The sequence below is a fragment of the Homo sapiens genome, chromosome 5, assembly GCF_000001405.40.
Source record: "Homo sapiens chromosome 5, GRCh38.p14 Primary Assembly".
NCBI lineage: Eukaryota > Metazoa > Chordata > Mammalia > Primates > Hominidae > Homo > Homo sapiens.
Window position 1 is genome coordinate 145,237,678 of NC_000005.10, and position 21,837 is coordinate 145,259,514.

At 36.6% G+C, this 21,837-nt stretch overlaps 1 protein-coding gene across 1 annotated transcript in view; it reads right to left on the reverse strand.

Annotated features, from left to right (window-relative positions):
* Nucleotides 1–21,837, reverse strand: part of PRELID2 (PRELI domain containing 2) — a 606,358-nt gene that overhangs the window by 8,693 nt on the left and 575,828 nt on the right. Inside the window, exon 9 of the transcript XR_007058586.1 lies at nucleotides 18,374–18,603. The gene's annotated coding sequence lies outside the window, so the exon portion shown is untranslated. The remainder of the gene's footprint in view (nucleotides 1–18,373; nucleotides 18,604–21,837) is intronic.

Consider the following 21,837-nt stretch of genomic DNA (forward strand, 5'->3'; position numbering starts at 1 on the left):
CATTCCCTCTCACAGGACTCTCACACCTCTGGTTGCAGCAGCAGAGAGTGTGATGGCAAATGAGGCTGGACTTTTTCTACCACTGATAATAAAGGATCAGCATAAATACTTATTTTTTCTCCTTGGATGACCTGTCCATGTGCTTCCCCATCTGATCATTCCTTCCTGTGCTTCTGGAAAGAAGTGGTCAGTGTTACTGATCCTCTAACCAGTCTTACACAAAATACATACAGCTCTTCACATGGCTGAAATGAGTATGGGTATTTTCACAGAACCCCAACCCTCCAATCCTACTAGCTTACTCGAGGTTAGGCTGGAACGGGGCATATTTCATGTGGTAATCAGGCACCTGGCATATGCCACATTCCTTCTCACAAAGACCTACCCTCCAACAACCTCTCTTACATTGCTAGAGCGCCACCTAGAGTTCACTGTAACAAGTTTGGTTCCCCAAGCCTCCCTATTAGCTTGCTATGAAAAGGGCCACATTACAGAAGAGAAAGAGGACAGAAGAGAAGCAATTTTTGCTATACATTTCTATGTGCTAGGGTGCTATTCTAGGAGGCTAAATGCTTCACTTATCCATATAAGGTAATTGTTATCCCCATTTCACAGATGACAGTAGTTTGCTCAACAAATAGAGCCAAGATTCAAAACCAGGACTTGCTGACATCAATGCGGATGTTTCTTCCATTATTCAACACTTCTAGCTCTTAATTTCATTCAGCACTCCTCGATTTCAGGACGTTCTATGACTCCCCCACAGAATATGTCAACCTCAGTGGAGAAAATTTGTCTATGTAAAACCTAAATGCATTTATTTACACATTTCCTATTGCTACTTTTCCATGCCTTTTTCTCCTATGCCAGATATGTACTAAGCATCTGTTGAATAAATAAATGACTAAATGAATGAAATGTTTTTTTCTTGACTTTTTTCAAACCCTTTTCAAAATTCACATACCCAGAATAGCTACACCCACATCTGACTACTCTGTTACTTTATATTCCCACCTTGTGAAAGGTCTCCCCTGTTATGTCCCCACTATCCTATAAATGAACCTCATATTACCACAATCCATACATTTCTAAGAATGAAGTGATTAAAATTACTTAGGACACTTCATATGCAAATGAAAGCCTACACAAAACTACTTTCCTTCAATAAAGAAGTCACGTAATTATCTGAATCATCAATTATCTAAATCATCACTTATTTACCTGCTTTATTGAGCTAATTTCCTAATACTAGTTTATATTAAATAATGTGTGGGTATCTATCTGTCTCTATCTATCTATCTATCTATCTGTCTATCTATCTATCTAACACACACACATTAATGTGAATTTTTCAGTGACATACAGTTAAACATCTGAAGCATTTTTTCTGGGACTATGTGCACTGTCTCAGTAAGAGTATGAGCTCTACGAGGGCAAGTACTAATTTTAAAATTGTGCTATAATCTTCTAATCCGAACTGTAATTTCTTCAGCTATCTCATTAAATGTTTATGACTGACCAATGATTCCTCCTCTTGTCTAGCTATTCTCTAGCAATTCCTTTGAAAGAAATACTAATGAGCAATTAAATGTTAAAAAGGGGCAAAAGAATGAGGAGTGGATTTTCCCAGAAGGTAATTATGAGTGCCTACCATGTTCCAGGAATCACTTGGAGTGATGAGAGGACATAGTCTCTGGTCTCAAGGATATTGTCTCCTGGGATAAACAGACAATTACAGCACAGTATTCTGGGTCAGCAGAGGCCCAGAGGTATCCTACACTTAGACAAAAGGCAAAAATGACTGACTGCTGAGGTCTCTAATTACTGAGATTCCTCCTGAAGTGATGGTAAATGCTATAATGCAATTATAATAAATATAATGCAATTACAATAAATGTCTGTTGAATTGAATTAAATCAAATTGATGCCTCGCTCTCCAGAAGCTCAAATATACACCATGAAAAATGGAAATGCCATTATTTAAAAAGAAATTCAAGGCCTCCTAGTAAGTTATCCATGGAGATATTTCAGAAGATTTTTAACCCATAAGAGTCCTTAAGAAATTCTATAAGCTTCTGCCCTACTCAAGTGGCCCTCTCATCTGATGAATGGACCCTTATAGAAGCTTCTTTAGAATATTCTCAGACATTTGAGGTAAGGTCCTGGCAAAATGAGAATGGTTTTTCTGCCACTGAATAACTTAAGGATGATAATGACAACTAAATGTGATTGATAGCAGCCACAATTTGTGCTAAATTATTTCATATAAAAATATGGCCCCCAGCAAAGCATATCGTTGAATGCTGTTTTCTCAGAATTTGGTACATCTTTTGCCTCTTTTCTCCCTCCTAAATAAGTTCTTTGACAACAAGGTTGCGTCTTTCTTGTTGATAATAGGATGAATGAGCATATGATAATTGAATGCATGAAAATGAATTTAATAGATGGTTCCTCATAATGGTCTGACGTTTTATGGCATTTATAAATGGGTACATCTCACTGGCACTCTCTACATTGAGCAAATGTATTTTCTTTTTAATTTTCACTTTCTGCTTTATTGCTTTCTTTTTTTCATCAGACAGGGAAAGCATGCTTTTATAGAAGTATTAGAAAATAAAAATAAGCAAAGTTTTTAAAACCAAAGATTTCACCACCTAGCATTAACCAATATTAACATTTTGTTTCTGTCTTTTCCAAGGTTTTCCTATACAAATATACACTTTTTAAACAAAAATATTTTTTTCTGATATATACAATATTTTGTAATTTACATATTTATAAATAGTAAATAAACATACTTTATAAGTATCCATGTGCATCCTCATCTTTAGTAGTTACAAAATAATCCATTGTGTATATCTCAACATTTATTGAAACTATACTTATTATCAGGCAGCTGGGTTGTTTCCACATTTTTGCTATTTTAAACAACATTATAATAAATGTCTTTCTACGTACAACTTCTTGTATTTATTTGAGGGTTTCTTTAAAAACCGGTAGAATTGCTGGGCCAAAGGGCAAATCCCATTTTAAAGGCTCCTGTTGCTTATGACTGAATTTCATACTATAACTGCTTTATACCACCACTGTGTCAATCCTAGGTGTTATGATCTTATAAGCTTAGATGACATATAAAAAAATTAACATGTTTGTTTCCTACATTTAGTGAATATTATAGTGATTCCATAAACCTTGTTTATGTGTATAAAAGCAGAATGTGTAATGATTTCGAAGCTGGTTTCTCAAGCCAGATTATTTGATCTCCTATGCTGGCTCAGCTGTTCACTAGCTCTATGACTCAAACAGGTTAAAGAGCTTCCTTGGGTGGGCTTCAGCGTCCTCATCTGGAATATGATATAATTAAAGTATCAATCTCTTAGGGTTGTTCTCAGAATTAAGTGATTTGACCCATAAAGTGGACACAGAACAGTACCTGGCACAGGTAAGCATTCAATAAATGCTACTTGTTCTCTTGTTTCTAGGAACACAACTAAATTAATTTTTCAGCCTTTCTTGCAATTAGATACATCTATGAGACTAGACTGTAAGATAAATTGATGTGTGTCATTTACTGGTCTGGCTCATAAATACCTTGAAGACACGATTCTCATTCATTTCCTTGTCAACCAGCAGAATAGAGATCACCCAAAGGACCTAGAGCAGGTGGAATCACAAGATAAAAGGAGCCTGGATGTATAAATGACTATGGAAGAGAGCTCCACCACCACCAACCACATGCAACCATCATTCACCAATGAGAAATAAATGTATATCGCATTGCATTTTACATGTTTCGTTGCTCTTGTCATAGCACTCAGCCTTTCTTGACTAATAGAATTGCCTATTGTTATTCCTTTATCACATATTATCTGTTTTTTAAAAAGAGAGAATTTTATTTCAAAATATGAAGAATGGAGAGGCGTAAAAAGTTCAGGACTTGAAATCCACTGTAGAAAATCTACACCTTGATAATATATGAGTCCATGGGTCATTTATCTATCTAGAATGTATATTATCCCACATCTTTGTTTCTTTATATTCCACATTCTGGCTCCAGGCTACAGAGGTTAATTTCAATACAGCTAAATGTATTTATTCAGCTTACAGACACAGATTCCTCATATTCCCTCTTACACTGACCAGTGAACATCGTTTTCTTACATTTACTAAATCACTTAGGCCATAAATACCAAAGTACCAGCTGAGAAAATCCAGGAGGAAACATTCTTTGGGAAAAAGAGAACTATTCAAAAGAAATGCTATTGCATAAAAAAAAAAGTTCCCCATAATGGTTCTGCAGTTCTGAAATGTCTACAGGAAAGTCATACCAAACAGGAATATATTTCCCAAGTTTTCCCCTTGAAGATCCTAGACATGAAAGAAAAATGCTCAATTTGAAGCATTGTTCATTTTGCAAAAAATATTATTTGTTACCAAAGGAAGGGAAAAGTAGAAGGATACCAAAAATGATTTTATATGTGTGTGTGAATATATATATACATATATGAAATTTTATGAGCTTTCAAGCAAAAAATTTATTCAAATATAAACCATGAAACACTTTCCACATGGTTTACTTTCTAAGGTTAGAACTTCCAACTGAAACTAGCTGGAATATTTTTCAGAGTGTTTTGAGTCTCCAGGGACCATAAGACATTAAATAACACTATCAAATGAATCTTTCTAAATATAGAGTTAAATGGCTCTCCCCTTACATTTGCATCATGCTCCACAATGAGTTTTCTGTGTAGGAAGGTATTATCATTCCCATCCCACAGGAGGGGATACTGTAATTCAGAGATATTAAAGGGTCTGTCCAAGGTTATCCGGATAGTGCTACAAGGCAATCCAAGTAATCCTCCACTAAGTAATCTGCAGACTTCAGTTTTCACATATGAATTTTCTAAAAATGTTCAAAGTGACAGCTACAATCAAGTTAATCAATGTAACAGTTACAGATGTGTCTATGAGAGAAAAAGGTAACCAATAGGATGCATTTGACCTAATCCCAGCTTGCATCATAGAAAAGAACAACTAAATAACCTGTGGGCAGTAGGTTAAACCCTAATCCGATAATTCCAGTGCAAATGCCAGAAATGTAAAATGTTTATCATTCCCCACCCTAAAAGCATACTTGTTTCAGGAAACAGTAAATAAAACAAATGTCTAGGCTAATAAAGTGATTTATAGCTTTTAGTGGTATGATTTAACCACCATATGTGTTCTTGAGAGACAGCTATATAACAAATATTTATATACATATTTAAATACCATTTCCCATTTATTTTCATTATTCTATTTGAAGTATAATTCTTTAGAAAGAGAAGAGTGGCTAAGAGACCTTTTTATAAAATCACACAAATATAACAAAATTGTAAATAATTGTGCATTTAACAGAAAATTATACTTTCTTGAAAATGTATTAAGAACAGTCCAAAGAAAATACAAAGTAGGAACTCAGAGTAAGAACTAAAAGACATTTCAACCTGTTTCACTGTGTAATTTTTATGCTCAATTGAACAAACACAACAACAAAACCACAAAAGAGTTGGAAATGCCTTTCTGTCCTACATCGGTTTGCCAAATGTGCTTAGAATATTCTCTATCAGTAAGCGTGCCAGCAGAAAACAGATTTCACCCCAGAAGACTCAAATGAAGACACTTTAATAAAAGTGCTATTTATGAAGGTATAGTCAGGGTTAACAGAATGAAAAGGGAATGATAAAACTAGGTAAATCTTTCTTTTCATATTAAAAAAAAAGAAAAGGAAAAGGAGAGCAAAACATTGAAATAGTAAAGTCCATTTTATGTATTACAATTAGCACCTCAATTTTGTTTTGATGTTTTGGCAGGTAAGGTTAAAGAAGGCTATGAAAGCTATGTTTGGTTACATCATCTTTCTCAGTGTCATCATCACCATCATCATCCTCATCATTATTCTCTTAAAAATATTTCCTATTCATTGAGTGCCAAGGGCCTGGTGAAATCATATAGTATATATAGCCTTTTAAAATTGGCTTATTTCACTTGGTAATATACAATTAAGGTTTACAGAATTGCTTGAATGTCTTGCCAACAATAAATATTCAACAAAAGTTAACCATCATTACTATTATTATCAGCATTATTATTTTATAAATGTTCCATTTCCCTAGGGGATCAAAAAGAAGATCATACATTTTTCTAGAATCATGAAAGTCTTTGCTAGTTCCCTCTGTCATATTTACTTCCTCAGCAACTTTTACTTCCAAGTTTCTTGTTTGTTTGTTTATTTGTTTGTTTGTTTTTTGAGATGGAGTCAGTCTTGCTCTGTTGCCTAGGCTGGAATGCAGTGGCACAATCTCAGCTCACTGTAACATTTGCCTCCCCAGTCTCAAGCAATTCTCCTGCCTCAGGCTTTCGAGTAGCTGGGACTACAGGCACAAACTACCCTGCCCAGATAATTTTTTGTATTTTCAGTAGAGACGGGGTTTCAGTATGTTGGCCAGGCTGGTCTTGAACTCCTGACTTCAAGTGATCCACCCACCTTAGCCTCCCAAAGTGCTGGGATTATAGGCCTGAGCCACCACGGCTGGCCCCAACTTTTTTGTAACATGCATTTCACTCTTAATATACTTGCCCAGTCCTCTACTTTCCTCGAAACTGACAGCTTTTTGAGGACACAGACCACTTGTACTCCCTGTCTGCTACCCTATTCCAAGTATTTAGCAAAGTGCCTGGCGGGTGGCAGGTGCTCCTCGAACATCTACAAAGTGAAGAATGTTTGGCATGGTGGCCTGAATTGAAGGTACAAAAAGATGCAGTGACACAGCCTTGGGGGAATGAACAGGAGGGAAAGGCTGTTATGAGACCATATTCCCTGGAGTAGAATAATGGTGAAGACTCACTACAGTTTCACGGCACACAGACCCAGGGACTCAAGTATTTTCTACAGGGAGACTCTTCATTTGCATTATTCCCCAATTTCAACTCATAGTAAGTAAAATTTCTTCATAGCAGGGAAGGTCTTAAATGAATTTAGATAATATATTTAAATATGTTACTCAAATATGTAAAATTTAATATCTAACCATTAACTTTGGGAATTGCTGTTACTTACTGAAGTCCAATTCAGATCAGAGTTAATTTCACCCTAATTTTCTTTTACATGCAAAAAAATTTTGCCTATCCACAGTTCTACCTAGAATAAAATCAGCACTGCAGTATATGAGTCTTCCTCAGGATTTACTCCACATAAAAGAAAACAGAGTTGTTATTTTTAAAATTTATATTTCTTCTCTGACTCATTTCCAAAGTATTCAAAGCATCTCTTTTTGTTCCGGCACATTTTTCTCTTTATGTTATTTTTATTTTAAACTAATGGTTATGATACTTCATTGACGTCACTATAGCAAAAAGATTAAGAGAAAGCTTTCTTCTAACTAAAATATTTCTTTAACCCACTACAAAACTCTTAAAGCTAGATACTAATATGTCCTGTAATTAAGAAATGAGCTTCCCAATAGGATTTATTTTCATAGATTTAGATTCAATGCCAAGAAGCTACAGTTTAAACTGTCACAGTGCCCAATAGTAAAAACTTGCAAATCCTCAGAGACCAATTTTAAATAAATTTGTATTTCAGAAAAAAATAAAGTGCAATGAAGATATCCTTCTATTCCTTCTGTTACCCTCACTTCCACCCAAAGTAAGGCAGACACGGAAAGAGAAAGTGAGCGGGTAGAAAAGAAAGAGAAAGAGAGAGAGAGAGAGAGAGAGAGCACATTAATATCCAAAAAACATTACACTTGGTTTTGCTGTGAGAACTTTGACGTGGTTTTTCTGGCTAGGCCTGCTCCTCTGAAGTCCAAAGCAGTTACAATTCCATTCCCTAGGGTGCCTGCAGTTAACTTAAGAGTGAGAAAAAGAATGAATGACAAGGTCAGGGGTCCTGATTAGATTCTTCTCCGCTGCCCTGAAGGACTAAGGATGACTGCAGAAGGCAGGAAAAATCCTTCCTGTTGATTCAAAAGAAACGGAAGTTCAGTGGATTCAAGCAGCTCTTAAATGTAATAGTTAACAGCACAGGTTTTGGAATGAGACCCCGTATTAGTTGTGTGAATTTGGGTATTTCACATAATCTCTCTGAGCCTCATTCTCTTCAGCGTAAAATACAGAGGATGATTCTTCCTCTCACTAGACTGTGCATGTCAATGTAAAAAGCACCGTGGCACTCAACACATTTTTATTTTTGTTTTTGTTTTTTTTTAATTATACTGCCTTCAGCTAATCTTCTAAGAATCCTCTGGAAAGAGGACAGGGGAGGTCAGGAAACTCCCAAATTGTCTTAATTTGGGACACAATGAAACAGATCAACTGCACTTACAAGGACCTTGAACTGAGGAAACGAGATTTTACTTAGAATACACAAAATCGAAGTGAAGAAATTCGATTAACAACAATAAACCTGGTAAATGGGAGGATCAATGAAATTCTGTTTTATCCTAATTAATGTCACGTGTCTTTCTAAGAAAATCAGAGACAATAACCCCTACCGCCAAAAAAGATGTAATAGAGAGTATAGCTTCTGACAGCCTAGACTGCAGAAGCGTGGGGTTTAGAGGAAAGTTTTAAAATCACATTCACTATTTTGTTTATCTGATACATTTTTATTAAGTACCGGGGATATAATAGTGAATCAAAATGACATGGCCTTTGCTTCAAGGCTCTTACATTCAAATGGGGGAAGAGAGTGATAAATATGTAGTTGTACAAATAAAAAAATGTAAAGATACTGTAACCACTCTAAGATAAAAGTGTGGTATATTAATAGGTATTCTAGTTTAGATTGAGAAAGCCTCTCTGGGGAAAGGCAATTATATTCTTTCCTTCCTTCCTTCCTTCCTTCCTTGGCATGGGCTCTCCCAAGGCTAATCTTGTGATAAAAGCCTATGCATGAATAGTTTATTAAGGAGCAGGTATGAGAGACATGGTAAGAGAAAGAGAGCCAGTACAAGTTTACATTATCAAATTTGCCACTGCTCTACGAGACGGAAACTGCCTTTGCAAAAATGATAACTAAGGAAATTATGACAGTGAAAAAGATGAAACCTAACCAACTCCATCTTGCTTCTAACCTTTAATCTGTCCTTGTTCATTCCTGGGTGTAGGCCAAACTAACCTAGGGAAGAAATTTAGTGTATGGTTTGACTCTGAAACAAAATTGATAATGGCCCTTTCCGGAAAAGACCCTCTTCTTTCCTGGGGACCAGTCTGCCTTTGCAGGACTAACAAATTAGCTACAAGATGAGAAATTATGGTTTAGGGGTTATGCAGCCTCTGGCTGCAAGAGTCTGAACCTCCCAAATTGCTCCTGTGGATAATATCACTATTGTAAAACTTCAGATCAGTGCTTGAGATATTTTGCAGACTCTTCACTCAGTGAATCAGCTGACACCACACCCAGACTTATAATCTGACTCAACCAGTTCTGTGATCCCACCCAGGAACAGAAGACAGCAAGAAAACTTCACTTTGACCCCGTTTGATTCCATCTGCAACGTGACCAATCATCACTCCTCAATTCCCGAGCCCCTACTCACCAAATTATCTTTAAAAACCTGATCCCCAGATGCTGGAGACTGATTTGAGTAATAATAAAACTCCGGTCTCCCACACAGTCAACTCTGTGAATTACTCTTTTCCATGACAATTCCCCTGTTTTGACAAATTGGCTCTGTCTAGGCAGCAGGCAAGGTGAACCCACTGGGTGGTTACAAGACAAGTGGCTGCTTAGGCCACAGTGCCAGGTGAGAAGTCTTAGGAAATGCCTCTTTGAACCATCTTCTGAAAAAAGAACAGAAAAGGATTTTTCTATGGTCTTCTGTCCTACATTACTCAAAGGTTGCTCTGTATATGCTAACTTCCCCAAATCCTGGGTTGCACATACATGAGTGGCTAGTATTGAATGCCAATCAGGCATGCCCAGGCCTGCAGCAGAGAAGTCCCTGGGCAAAGCAAGAAGTATAGAGAATGGTTCCCAAACAAGGTACTGCCATTTGCACACAGATAAAGCTGTCCCCCAAACAGGAGCTAGAATTAGAAGAAAGGCCAAGAAAATCTGACATGGACCAGACAAGTGTTCTGATGTACCTCCTGTCTCTGAGACATCCTACATTCTAGTTCAGATTAGTCACTCAGTACGTTTTTATCATGTCTCTTTATTATACTGGCCTCAGCTAATCTGAGGCCAAAACTTGCTAGTGGTTCCCTGTTACCTGCCTAAAAAAGGGCCAAACACTTCAATATGAAGTCAGGGATTATCAACATTTGGAGAGTAGCTAGAGTCACAGGCGTCCCTGAAGAAAATCATAACTAATATACCTTGTGAAATATTTAAATGTGTCCAACAGTAGGGAAGTAGTTTGATAGATAATAATAAAATATAAAATAGCTATTAATAATGATACTTCAACAAAATCATAAAGGTAGAACTGCTCAGGATGTAACAGTAAGTACAAATGCAAAATTCCTATATTTTCATTCCTTCGTTCCCCCCCCTTCTTAACCCTCGTATATGTATGGGGGAAAGAGGCCCTTGGTAAAACGGAATAAAGATACAAACATGCTTATGTTGTTCTCTTTGCTTAAGTGTAGTTTTTCAAATTTTGTACCATAGGTTGGTTTTATTTTATAATTTAAAAATATTAACTTAAAATTATGATTATAAAAATGTAAAACATATTTCAATAGAATGAGAAGCCAGCTCTGAGTTGATGTCAGAAGAGAATCTGGGAGTCAAAAATATTGCTGCTCTAAGTTTATTCTTGGCCATTCTTTGTAAAATCATATAAGTTGGCCAGGTGCAGTGGCTCACACCTATAATCCCAGCACTTTGGGAGGCCAAGGCAGGCAGATCAAAAGGTCAAGAGATCGATCGAGAACATCCTGGCCAACATGGTGAAACCCCATCTCTAATAAAAATACAAAAATTAGCTGGGCATGGTGGTGCACACCTGTAGTCCCAGCTACTTGGGAGGCTGAGGCAGGAAAATCACTTGAACCCAGGGGGTGCAGGTTGCAGTGAACCGAGATCTCACCACTGTACTCCAGCCTAGCAACAGAGCGAGATTCTATCTCAAAAAAGAAAAAAATCACGTAAGTTTTTCTGCACTCTGGCATTGTCTCCTCATCTTAATCCCTAGGGAGCCAAACTCACTGAAGCAATAATCAGGTGCCAACAACTAAATTTCAGAAGGAAATGTCTCAGGGACTACAGTAAAAATTTTCAGTGCCAGCCTATTATTTGAGGCTATCACGTGTTTCACTTATATAACCTCAATAAATATTATGCTGATGTTCGTTCAGATTTAGAAGCTTTTTTCATCCTATTGCTACCAGCATATTTTCTGCACATTAATAAGCATCACATTTTATATGAAATATGACCCTCATTTTTAAACAAATTACAAAGCCACAAATTAGCTATTTGCTGAAGAATAGAGAAACTTAGAATTCTCATGTCTTTGCTTTTGCAACAAGCCCAAAAGAGATGAAGCTGATTATTTAACATGCCCCTTCCCGGCACACAAGCTCTTGTTAGTCAATAACTATTTTGCTGTCATTTTTTCTATGCTTCTGCAAATTTTAAACCTTTTCATTCATCCATTATTATTAGTTGATAAGATTAATTTGGTAGTATTTGGGCAGTCTGATCCTTATACTCAATTTTGAATATTTTGAATATATAATACTGTCCTATAATTACCTTCTAAAATCCTCAGAGGATTGGACAATGGACTGTTACATTCCCATAGTCTATTTTCCCCTTTTACCAATGAAAGCCAAAATACTTGTTTTTTTCTTTCTAGAGTTTTGTCCATTCCAAATAGAATTATATTTTTTCTTCTCTACATAAATCTAGGAATATTGCAACGGTTGCCAGGAGAAATAAATTACAGTGTTAGGCTGCAAATCTGTAGGTTTAAAGGTTCACCTTCCTTCAACATTATTTTAAAGGGAAAATACTATATTTCAGCCAGCAGAGAAGACAGGTTCTTGGTTTTATTCTCTAGTATTAAGCTCAGTTCTCTGTTTTGTAATGCCTAAAGGGATATTATGATTCTTTACAGAAAAAAGACATAATTTTAAATCCTTGTGCTTTGGCTGAATGAAGAGTGAGGTGATAGAACCTGGTGGAGGGAGGGGCAATAGGGGAGTGGGAGGGTTCCATTCTTTGTCAGTATAGTTTCCATGCCTCTCCCTCTCTCTCTCTCTCTCTGTCTCTCTCTCTCTCTCTCTCTCTCTCTCCTTTTGATGCATAGCCAATTGCAATCTGCACACAATTTAGATGAAGACATTTAACTGAATATCCAAAACCTAAATTTTCTTTTCTTTATAGATCTAGAATTTTTCAACGATGTTGCTTTTGTAACATACAGTTTGGGAAGGCAATATTATTGGATAAGGTTTTGTGTTCTTTCAGGGGAGAAACCATTACTCTTTAGAATTACAATGATCAATGTTGAAAGATATTCTCAAATACACACAGACAACCTTCGTCAGCATGAATTATGTGGGGGCAAGAATCAGGTTTGCAATATGCAGTATTTTGCTCAAAGGACTTTCACCTAATATATCTGAGTTGATGAGTATTTTATAGTCAGCAATACATTAAACATATTTGTAAGAAGCTTATTCTGTGCCAATGGTGCTAGAATTCAGAGTTTCTGACTTCATTCAAAATGCAAGTGTTTGAACCAAGCCAACAGCTTCAGAGGGAATCAGTGTAGTATAAAACATGGCTAAAAAGAAGCTGCTGACTGACCAACTTGCGATCAAATCATTGATATGAAGACTAGGAAGTTAAGAATATTGATGAAAAAGAACTTGAAGTTGTAGACCATGGGATGTTGGGTTGTTCTGAGGGTACCAAGAGACTTAGATAGATGGTCTAGATAAGAAGTGGCAAGAGGTAGTGGTTAATAAGTGGAATAAAGGTGTTCAGACTTTTGAGATGGAATACAAACACTATGCAGCAATTAGGTAATGACATTGGGATATTTTCCATGAAACACTGTTAAGTTTTAAAGTGGGATATAAAACAGTATGTGGAGCAGGATCTTGATAAAGCCAAACAAAAATAAAACAAACAAACGAATGTTAATGGCAATCACTTTTGGGAGGTTAGGTTGTGGATACTATAATAACAGTTCACCCTTATATCTGCAGTGCCTGGAAGAGCACAGAAAACAATATTTAGTGGGTACTTACTTTCATTTTACATCCAGTTTCTACAATGACACACAGTGCCTTTGCAATCAGAAAAATAAAAGTTATTTTAAAACATACTTGTTTTTGAAATGAGGTAATTACAAGGAATGATGAAGAATAGATGTCATAACTATCCATAGTTGCTAGATAACTTCCCCTAGTCAGATGTACATCTAGATAAAAGAGGAAGTATAAGGGAGAAATCAAGAAGATTTTCTTGATGACCCCAGTAGTTTCTTATCTTGAAGACATTATAGGCAAGGCTCCTTCAGATCAGCAGCAGAGGGCAATGGGAGGCATACTCCAGGCTAGGATCATATGGATAATACTATTGCTGAGCATAGTAAATTATTTTCCCACTTGTGACCTCAATTATTTTGCATTTACAGAATACACAATAGCATCATACTGACCCTGCTGCCCAAGCAAACTTTTTAAGTGGGCCATGAGCCCAAGTTGCTGTTAGAATATATCACCAGACTCTTGCCTTCTGTAACTGCGCTCCATGAGTTGGAAGCTCTCAGGGGTCTTGATCTCAGTGTAATGATTTCTAACTAAAATAATTTGCAGGCACTACAAATATTGTAGAAGAGGAGACTAGCCTTGTGGCCTTCATCATCCCAACCACCTCAGCTGGTGATGGGTAGTCAAGCACAGCTGTAACATCTCTATATGGGATCAATACTCCCCATAGTCTTTTGTAGATTATTTGAGCCCTGGATACCCTCGACAAAATAGTTGGGCCCCTTTTCTGCATTTTCTGTCTCTAGGTCCTAGTTTTGGTTATGGACATTGCACCTTGTTTGATGCCCACAGTTTTCATTGACAACCTTGCCTCTTCCCCAGCTTGCCTCATTGAGTGATACTTTTACCTGGTAGTCAACCAACCCTTGGCCTGGGAGCCTGGCCTCTGCCTAGACAGTCTAGCCAAGCTCTCAGTGGATCTCTATTGACCTCATCTGTCAGGGGTCCATGTCTGAATAATTTCCTACCCTTTCCCTCTTGTCTCAACTTTTCTGGTGTTTGACCCAAACCCAGAAGCTCCTTCCTTTTCTCTGTAGATAACTCTCAGCTAACCAATTAACTATGCAGATAATTTGAAATAGTGATGTTTTTCAGAGTGATCCACACCACCAGAATCAGAAACGCCTAGAGGTTTGTTACTCAAAATCTGGCCAGAAACATTGGCATCACCTGGGAGCTTGTTACATATGCTGACTCTCAGGTTCCACTCTAAACATCCTGAATCAACCTCTCTAGAGGTGATGGATGGGAATCTCTGTTTTAACAAGCCTTCCTGTTGATTCTTATGTTAAAGTCCAAAAAACATCGTCTATTATGCTTGCTAAAAATGTAGATTCTCTGGCCCTGTCTTAAACGAAAATCTGCATAAATAACAAATATTCCAGGTAATGCCTTCCCATATCAGATTTATAGGGCTTGAGCTCAAATGCCAGCTCTGCCTCAAGCCATCTGTGCAATCTTGGACAAAGCTATTTAATTTCTCTGTGGTTTGATTTTCTCATTTTTCAAATTAAAAATTCTTCATCCTAGGTTTATTGAGAGGATTAAATTAGATAATGCCTTTGAAGTGCTTAACATAATTCCTAGTACAAAGGAAGCACTAATAAATGTTTGTCTTTGTATTGTATTAATGTTTATCAACTGTAAGGTGTTAATGTGCTAGCCTTTCTCCATACCCAGGAAACATATGTGCATTTTTGGTGACAGTTTCTGATGACAATACCTTAGATCAAAGAAATAACCCAAGGAGGAGAGAGGAATTGGGAGTTATTGTTTAAAAGGTACAGAGCTTCAGTTTAGAAAGACGTAAAAGTTCTCAAAATGTATAGTGATAATGGTTGTACAACCATGTGAACACACTTAATGCCACTGAACTGTACATCTAAAGTCATATATTTTATGTATATTTCACCCAGTAAAAATAAATAAATACATGCATCAAAAAGAATGGTTAAAATGATACATTTTATGTTAGGTAAATTTTACTATATTTTAAAAAACATTTTTTGAGGAATAACTCTAAGGACAATCATTGAAGGAAGCATCTTAAGATTGATAGAAATTATTAGGAAGCAACAGAAAGAGAGAAAAATGATTGGTATTGCTGAAGCTTTGTGTTGCACTAAATTTCTTCTGGATTTAAAGGAAAATATCAAGTTGGCAACCAACTTAGTATTTCCTATGTAATACCAGTCCAAATCTCATTTTCTGGCTGGAATGCTAGTAAAGGAATTGTAGGATTCCCAGAGAGATGATAAACTAAAAGCAAAAATTTAGGATATTCTATTGAGGTAGAACCTGTGGTTGACTATTTACTTAAAAGGTGCTACCATAGAGTGGAAGAAGTTATCATGGAATACTTATGCTGGGCAAGACCTGTTACAATATTATCTTATTTGATTTTCATAGTCCCCATGTAAGGGTAAGTATCAGACCTATTTTATAGATGAAACAATCTGAGAAAGACTAGGTGATATTCCTAGAGGCCATACCCATAGTAATCGTAAAAAGCAAAGTCAGGCTTTAGGAGGAGATCCATCTGACATCCATGCTTTTTCTCCTTTGCATTCATCAGAGCTTCCCATATGGAAATACAAAACTCTCATAAGAATCCCTGCAAGTCATGGCTTCAGGATGCAATCTGTCAGCCATCTCTGTGGTGCCTCTGTCAGATTCTAAATCTCCCTCTTTGCCTCTCCTTGTAGAAGCCATTCAACAAACTGGGTAGCTGAACTGTTAGAGAGGTAGGCATATGTCCCAAACTAAGCCAGTTTGGTCTTCCATCATTTGAACGCAGTTATTCCTCCAGAGACAATCATGAAACATAAGCCAAGCCAACTAAAGTGGTAAAGTATAGTTGCTAAGAGAGTGAGATCTAAAAAAAACAAAAAAAACAAAAAAAAAATCCAGTCTTCCTTTGAATGCAACTTTTGTCACTTTTATTTAGTGTTTGTATGATCTTAGAGAAATGTCTCTGAGCCTTAATTTCCTAAAAAAGAAGACAAAAAGATAATAATAGGAGGTATCTCATATGATTATTGTAAGGATTCACACACACACACATACACACACACATAACGACAAGAAGGCAGTGTCACCTTATTCCTCGGCTGAGAACTTGTGCATGAGGTGAATTAAATCTTTTGCTGTTCTGTTATGTGTGCCGATGAATGACCACAAAATTTCAGTGAACTTTCAAATACAAAATTCATGAATAATGAGGATTGACTATATTTATTCATACATATCATTTTATTTCTACTATGACATGCCTATTATGTAAATATCCATGTTAAACATATAGAGACAGATGCTTAACAATTGCCTTGCACACATTGTATATCCAATAAATATTAACCTCTGTTTTTCGAATTATTATTTGTTATTACTACTCTGAGGGATTTAAAAAAACAAAACTAAACTAAAGCTGCCAGTGATGATTATTTTGCTCTCTGTTCAAAACACTACAAGTATGTGAGCCCCAATCTGCTGGCAGCCAGATCTCCTGCCTCATGGAAAAGATACCAAGTCAGAGAGAAGATAGAAGAGCAATGAAGAGAAAGTGGTGACTCTGAAGGCACAGGCTCATGTACCTGTTTAATTCTGAGGGCAAAGCAAGAGAACTGAGAGAAACCCTACAGGTCATGGGGGCCTTACACTGAGCTTGAAGAAGTGACATTCTGAACCTAGGGAAGATTCAGGAGAGCTAAACAAAACCACACTGTGATACAGATTTGCAAAACTTACTGAGGTATAAGGGTAGAGAAAGAGAATTTCAAAAACCCGGCAGGCATTTTGAACCTTACATATAATTAAGAACTAATCATCTATGACTGAGAGATGGGCAAGAGAAATGAGAAAGATTTACACTGATTTTCAGGTGCATAGGTCTTGTTAAAGTCTGATGGCCAAATACGAGAAATGAGACATTCCTCCTAGGTAGTCAGAACCCAAACTCTGAATTAAAAAAAAAAAAAAATGACTCCACCCACAATTAATTTGATGCTTCTAAAAAGCTGAATTTAACTAAAGCAACAGCAAATCTCAGAGCCAGCTCACCTATAGACTACAACTAAATTGCTCCAACACACCCTGCCACCCCTCACACACTAACAGTTTGATAAAAGAAGAACAATGTCATTTTCTGGGTATAAATATTATTTACTTTAGTCTCTGCTATTCTTTTATATGTAATATTTGGCATTCAATTAAAAATTATGAAACATTCAAAGATGCAAGAGAATATGGCCTACTGTTAAGGGAGGAAATAATTAATAGAGACAAACATAAAGATGACTCAGATGTTAGAATTATGAGACTTTAAAATAACTGTGATGAATGTGTTAACAAATCCAGTGGAAAAAAAATACACAGAAAGGATAAATGGAATAAAAACTATAGTAAAAAGAAATAAAACTATACTAAAAAGAAATAAAAACTATAGTAAAAACATATCAAGTGGAAATACTGAAAATATTTTTTAAATGATAACAGAGGGGAAATGATCAGAGAACTGGAATACAGTGAAAAGAAATTATTGGCTCGGTGCAGTGGCTCACATCTGTAATCCCAATGCTTTGGGAGGCAGAGGTGAGAGAATTGCTTGAGCCTAGTAGTTTGAACCAGACTGAGCAACATAGTGAGAACTTGTCTCTATTAAAAAAAAAAGAAAAAAGAAACTGGCAAGGCATGGTGGTGTGTACCTATAGTCCCAGCTACTTGGGAGGCCAAGGTGGAAGGATCTCTTGAGCCTGGGAAATTGAATCTGTAGTAAGCCATGATTGCAAAACTGCACTCCAGCCTGGATGACAGAGCAAGACTCTGTCTCAAAAACTATATATATATGTTATTAAAACTTAAACACAGAGAGAGTAAAAATAATAGAACATCCAAGATCTGTGAGAAAATATCAAATTGTAAAATATACATAAAACTGGAGTCCCAGAATACATAAAGAAAGAGAGAGAGAGAATGGGGAAAAAAGAAATAGAGATAACGGCCAACAATTTTCCAAACTTGGTAAGAGACATTACATTAGTTTTTTGTTGCTGCTGTAGAAAATTATAACAAACTTAGTAGCTAAAACAACACAACTTACCCGACAATCATGGAAGTCAAGGCAAAACAGGTCTCACTGGGCTAAAATCAAGGTGTCACCAAGATAGTGTTATTTTCTGCAGGCCATAAAAAAGAATCAATTTTCTTGCCGTATCAGCTTCTAGATAATGTTCCCATTCTTTTGACTTATTTCCTCCTTCCATCTTCAAATCCAGTAACGACTGAATCTCTCTCACATCTTATCTCAGTAACACTGACTCTTCTGCTTCCCTGTTAAACATTTAGATTTATTAGCATATTTATTATTTTTTTTAAATCTTTGTCATTTGACATTTTTGTCATCTGAGTCACTTCTATGTCTGTTTGACCTCTAAGTCATTTCTATGTCTGTTTCTATTGATTATTTTCTGTTGTGATTACATTGGGTTCACCCAGTTGATCCAGAATCATATCCTTATTTTAAAGTCTGCCAATTAATAACCTTAATTTTATCTGCAACCTTAGTTGCCCTTTTCCATATAATCTAACATATATACAAATCCCAGGAATTAGGGCATAGACATCTCTTTGTGGGAGGGGACATTATTCTGCCTACCACTGATGTGTGTTCATAAATCCATAAATCTCAGCAAATCCCAGACAGGAAAAACACAAAGAAAACCATACCTAAGCAGATAATTATAAAAACACTGAACTACTAAGATTTTTAAAAATTCTTTAAAGTAGCCAGAAGGGAAAACATACATTACATGTGTGGAAAAAAGAAGAATGTCAGCATACTTTTAATCAGAAAAGTAGTTGAGGCTAAAAGACAATGTAAACGTATATTTAGAGTGCTGAAAGAAAAACAGACAAACTAGAATTGAATTTTATATTCAGTGAAAATATTGTTCAAAAATGAAGATAATTTTTTTTTTAGAAAAAGCAACTTAAGAAGATATCTTCAATAGGCTTGTACTACATGAAGTGTTTTTAAAAAGTTTCTTTGGCTGAAGGAAAATAATCACATAGGAAACTGGTGATGCAGAAAGAAAGAAAAAAATTCTATAAAGCATGAATATTTCAGTAAATATAAATGCATTTTAAAAATTATTCTTAATGTACTATATAATTTTTAAGCCTATTTAAAAGGCTATTGACTCTTTAAGGAGAAATAATTTAACAGTGTAATGTGTGGTTTAGAGTGTGTGTAAAATTTAACTATTTAACAAAAAGAGTACATGAGTCAGCAGAGCAGTAACTATATAATACATTTTTAACATTATTATATTGATTGTGAAGTAGAATATTTTATGAAAGTAGATGAGGAGAAATTAAATATGCTTACTGTAATTTTTAGAGTCACTACTGAAAACAATTAACAGAGGAGGGTATAATTAAAATCAAAAGAGAAGATAAAAATGAATATTTTAAAATAATTTATGCAAAAAGCAGGCATGAAAGAGAAAACAGAAAAACAAAAAGTAGGTAGGACTTATAGAATCCACATATAAACAAATAATTTCATGAAAGCAATAAAGACTCAAATTATAAGTCGGAGATTGCCAGACAATATAAAACCACAAGACACAACTAATGATGTTCATAAGAATGTTTAAGAATATAGAATGTTTGAGAGTAAAAGAAGATAACTGGTATAACATGCAAATATTAAGCATAAGAAAACTGGCATTGTTTTGTTAATATTAGAAGTAGACTTCAAGATGAAGTTTATTATCAGAGACAAAGAAAGGGCATTTCATAACGATAAATGGGTCAATTAGACAAGAATACAAACCAATCTCAAGTGCATATAATATGGTTTTCATACGTGTTCCCACCCAAATCTCAAGTCAAATTGTAATCCCCAGTGTTGGAGGTGGGGCCTGGCGGGAGGTGATTGGACCATGGTGGGGGATTTCTCATGCATGGTTTAGCATCATTCTCTTGGTACTGCTGTCGTGACAGTAAGTTCTCATGAGATCTGGTTGTCTAAAAGTATGCAGCACATCCCCCTTCACTCTCTCTTTCTCTTTTTCCTGCTCCTGCCATGTAAGGCAACTTTTCTTTCTTTGCCTTCCATAATTAGAAGCTTCCTGAAGCCTCCTGAGAAGCAGATGCTGCTATGCTTTCTGTACAGCCTGCAGAACCATGAGCCAATTAAACAGCTTTTCTTTGTAAATTACCCAGTCTCAGGTATTTCTTTACAGCAATGTGAGAACAGATTAATACAGAAAATTGGCACTGAGGAGTGGGCATTGCTATAAAGATACCTGAAAATGTGAAAGCAACTTTGGAACTGGGTAACAGGCAGAGGTTAGAAGAGTTTGGTGGGTTCAGAAGAAGAAAGGAAGATGAGGGAAAATTTGGAACATCTTAGAGACTGGTTAAGTGGTTGTGACTAAAATGCTGATAGTGATATGGACAGTTATGTTCAGGCAGAGGAGGTATCACACGGAAATGAGAAACTTATTGGGAACAGGAGCAGATGTCACTTTTATCATGCCTTAGCAAACAACTTGGCTGCATTGTGCCTCTGCCCAAGGGATAGGTGGAACTTTTACCTCAAGAGTCATAATTTAGGGTATCTGTAGAACAAATTTCGAAGCAGTAAAGCATTCAAGATGTCACCTGGGTGCTTCTAACAGTGTTTGTTCATATGCAAGAGCAAAGAAAATACCTAAAGTTGAAACTTATATTTAAAAGAGATACAGAGTATGAAATATTGGAAAATTTGCAGCCTGGCTGTGTGGTAGAAAAGAAAAGCCCATTTTCAGGGGAGGAATTCAAGCAGACTGTAGAAATTTGCATAAGTAAAAAGGAGCTAAGAGCCAAGACAATGGAGAAGAGGCTTTGAAGACATTTCAGAGACCTTCAGGCCAGCCCCTCCTATCACAGGCCCAGAGTGCTAAGAGGACTGAATGGTTTCTTGTACCAGGCCCAGGGCCCTGCCACCCTGTGCAGTCTCAGGACATTGCTTCTTGCATCCCAGTCACTCCAGCTCCAGTCCAGGCTCAAAGGGGTCCAGGTGCCTCTCAGGCCACTGCTTCAGAAAGTGCAAGACATAAGCCTTGGCAGCTTCCACGTGGTATTAAGCTTGTGGGTGCATAGAATACAAGAGATGAGGTTTGGGAGCCTTCACCTAGATTTTAGAGGATGTATGAAAAATACTGGGTGCCCAGGCAGAAGCCTGCTGCAGGAGCAGAGCCCTCATGGAGAACCTCTACTAGAGCAGTGAAGAGGGGAAATATGGGATTTGAGCCCCTACACAGAGTTCCCACTGGGGCACTGCCTAGTGGAGCTATGAGAAGAAGGCACTGTCCTGCAGACCACAAAGTGGTAGATTCACTGACAGTTTGCATTCCTGCACCTGGAAAAGCCACAGGCACTCTAGATCAGGCCTTAAAATTAGCACCAGGGGCTGAACCCTACAAAGCCATAGGGGCAGAGCTGCACAAGGCTTTGGAAACCCACCCTTTGCACCAGCATTCTCTGGATGTGGGATATGATGCCAAAGGAGATTAT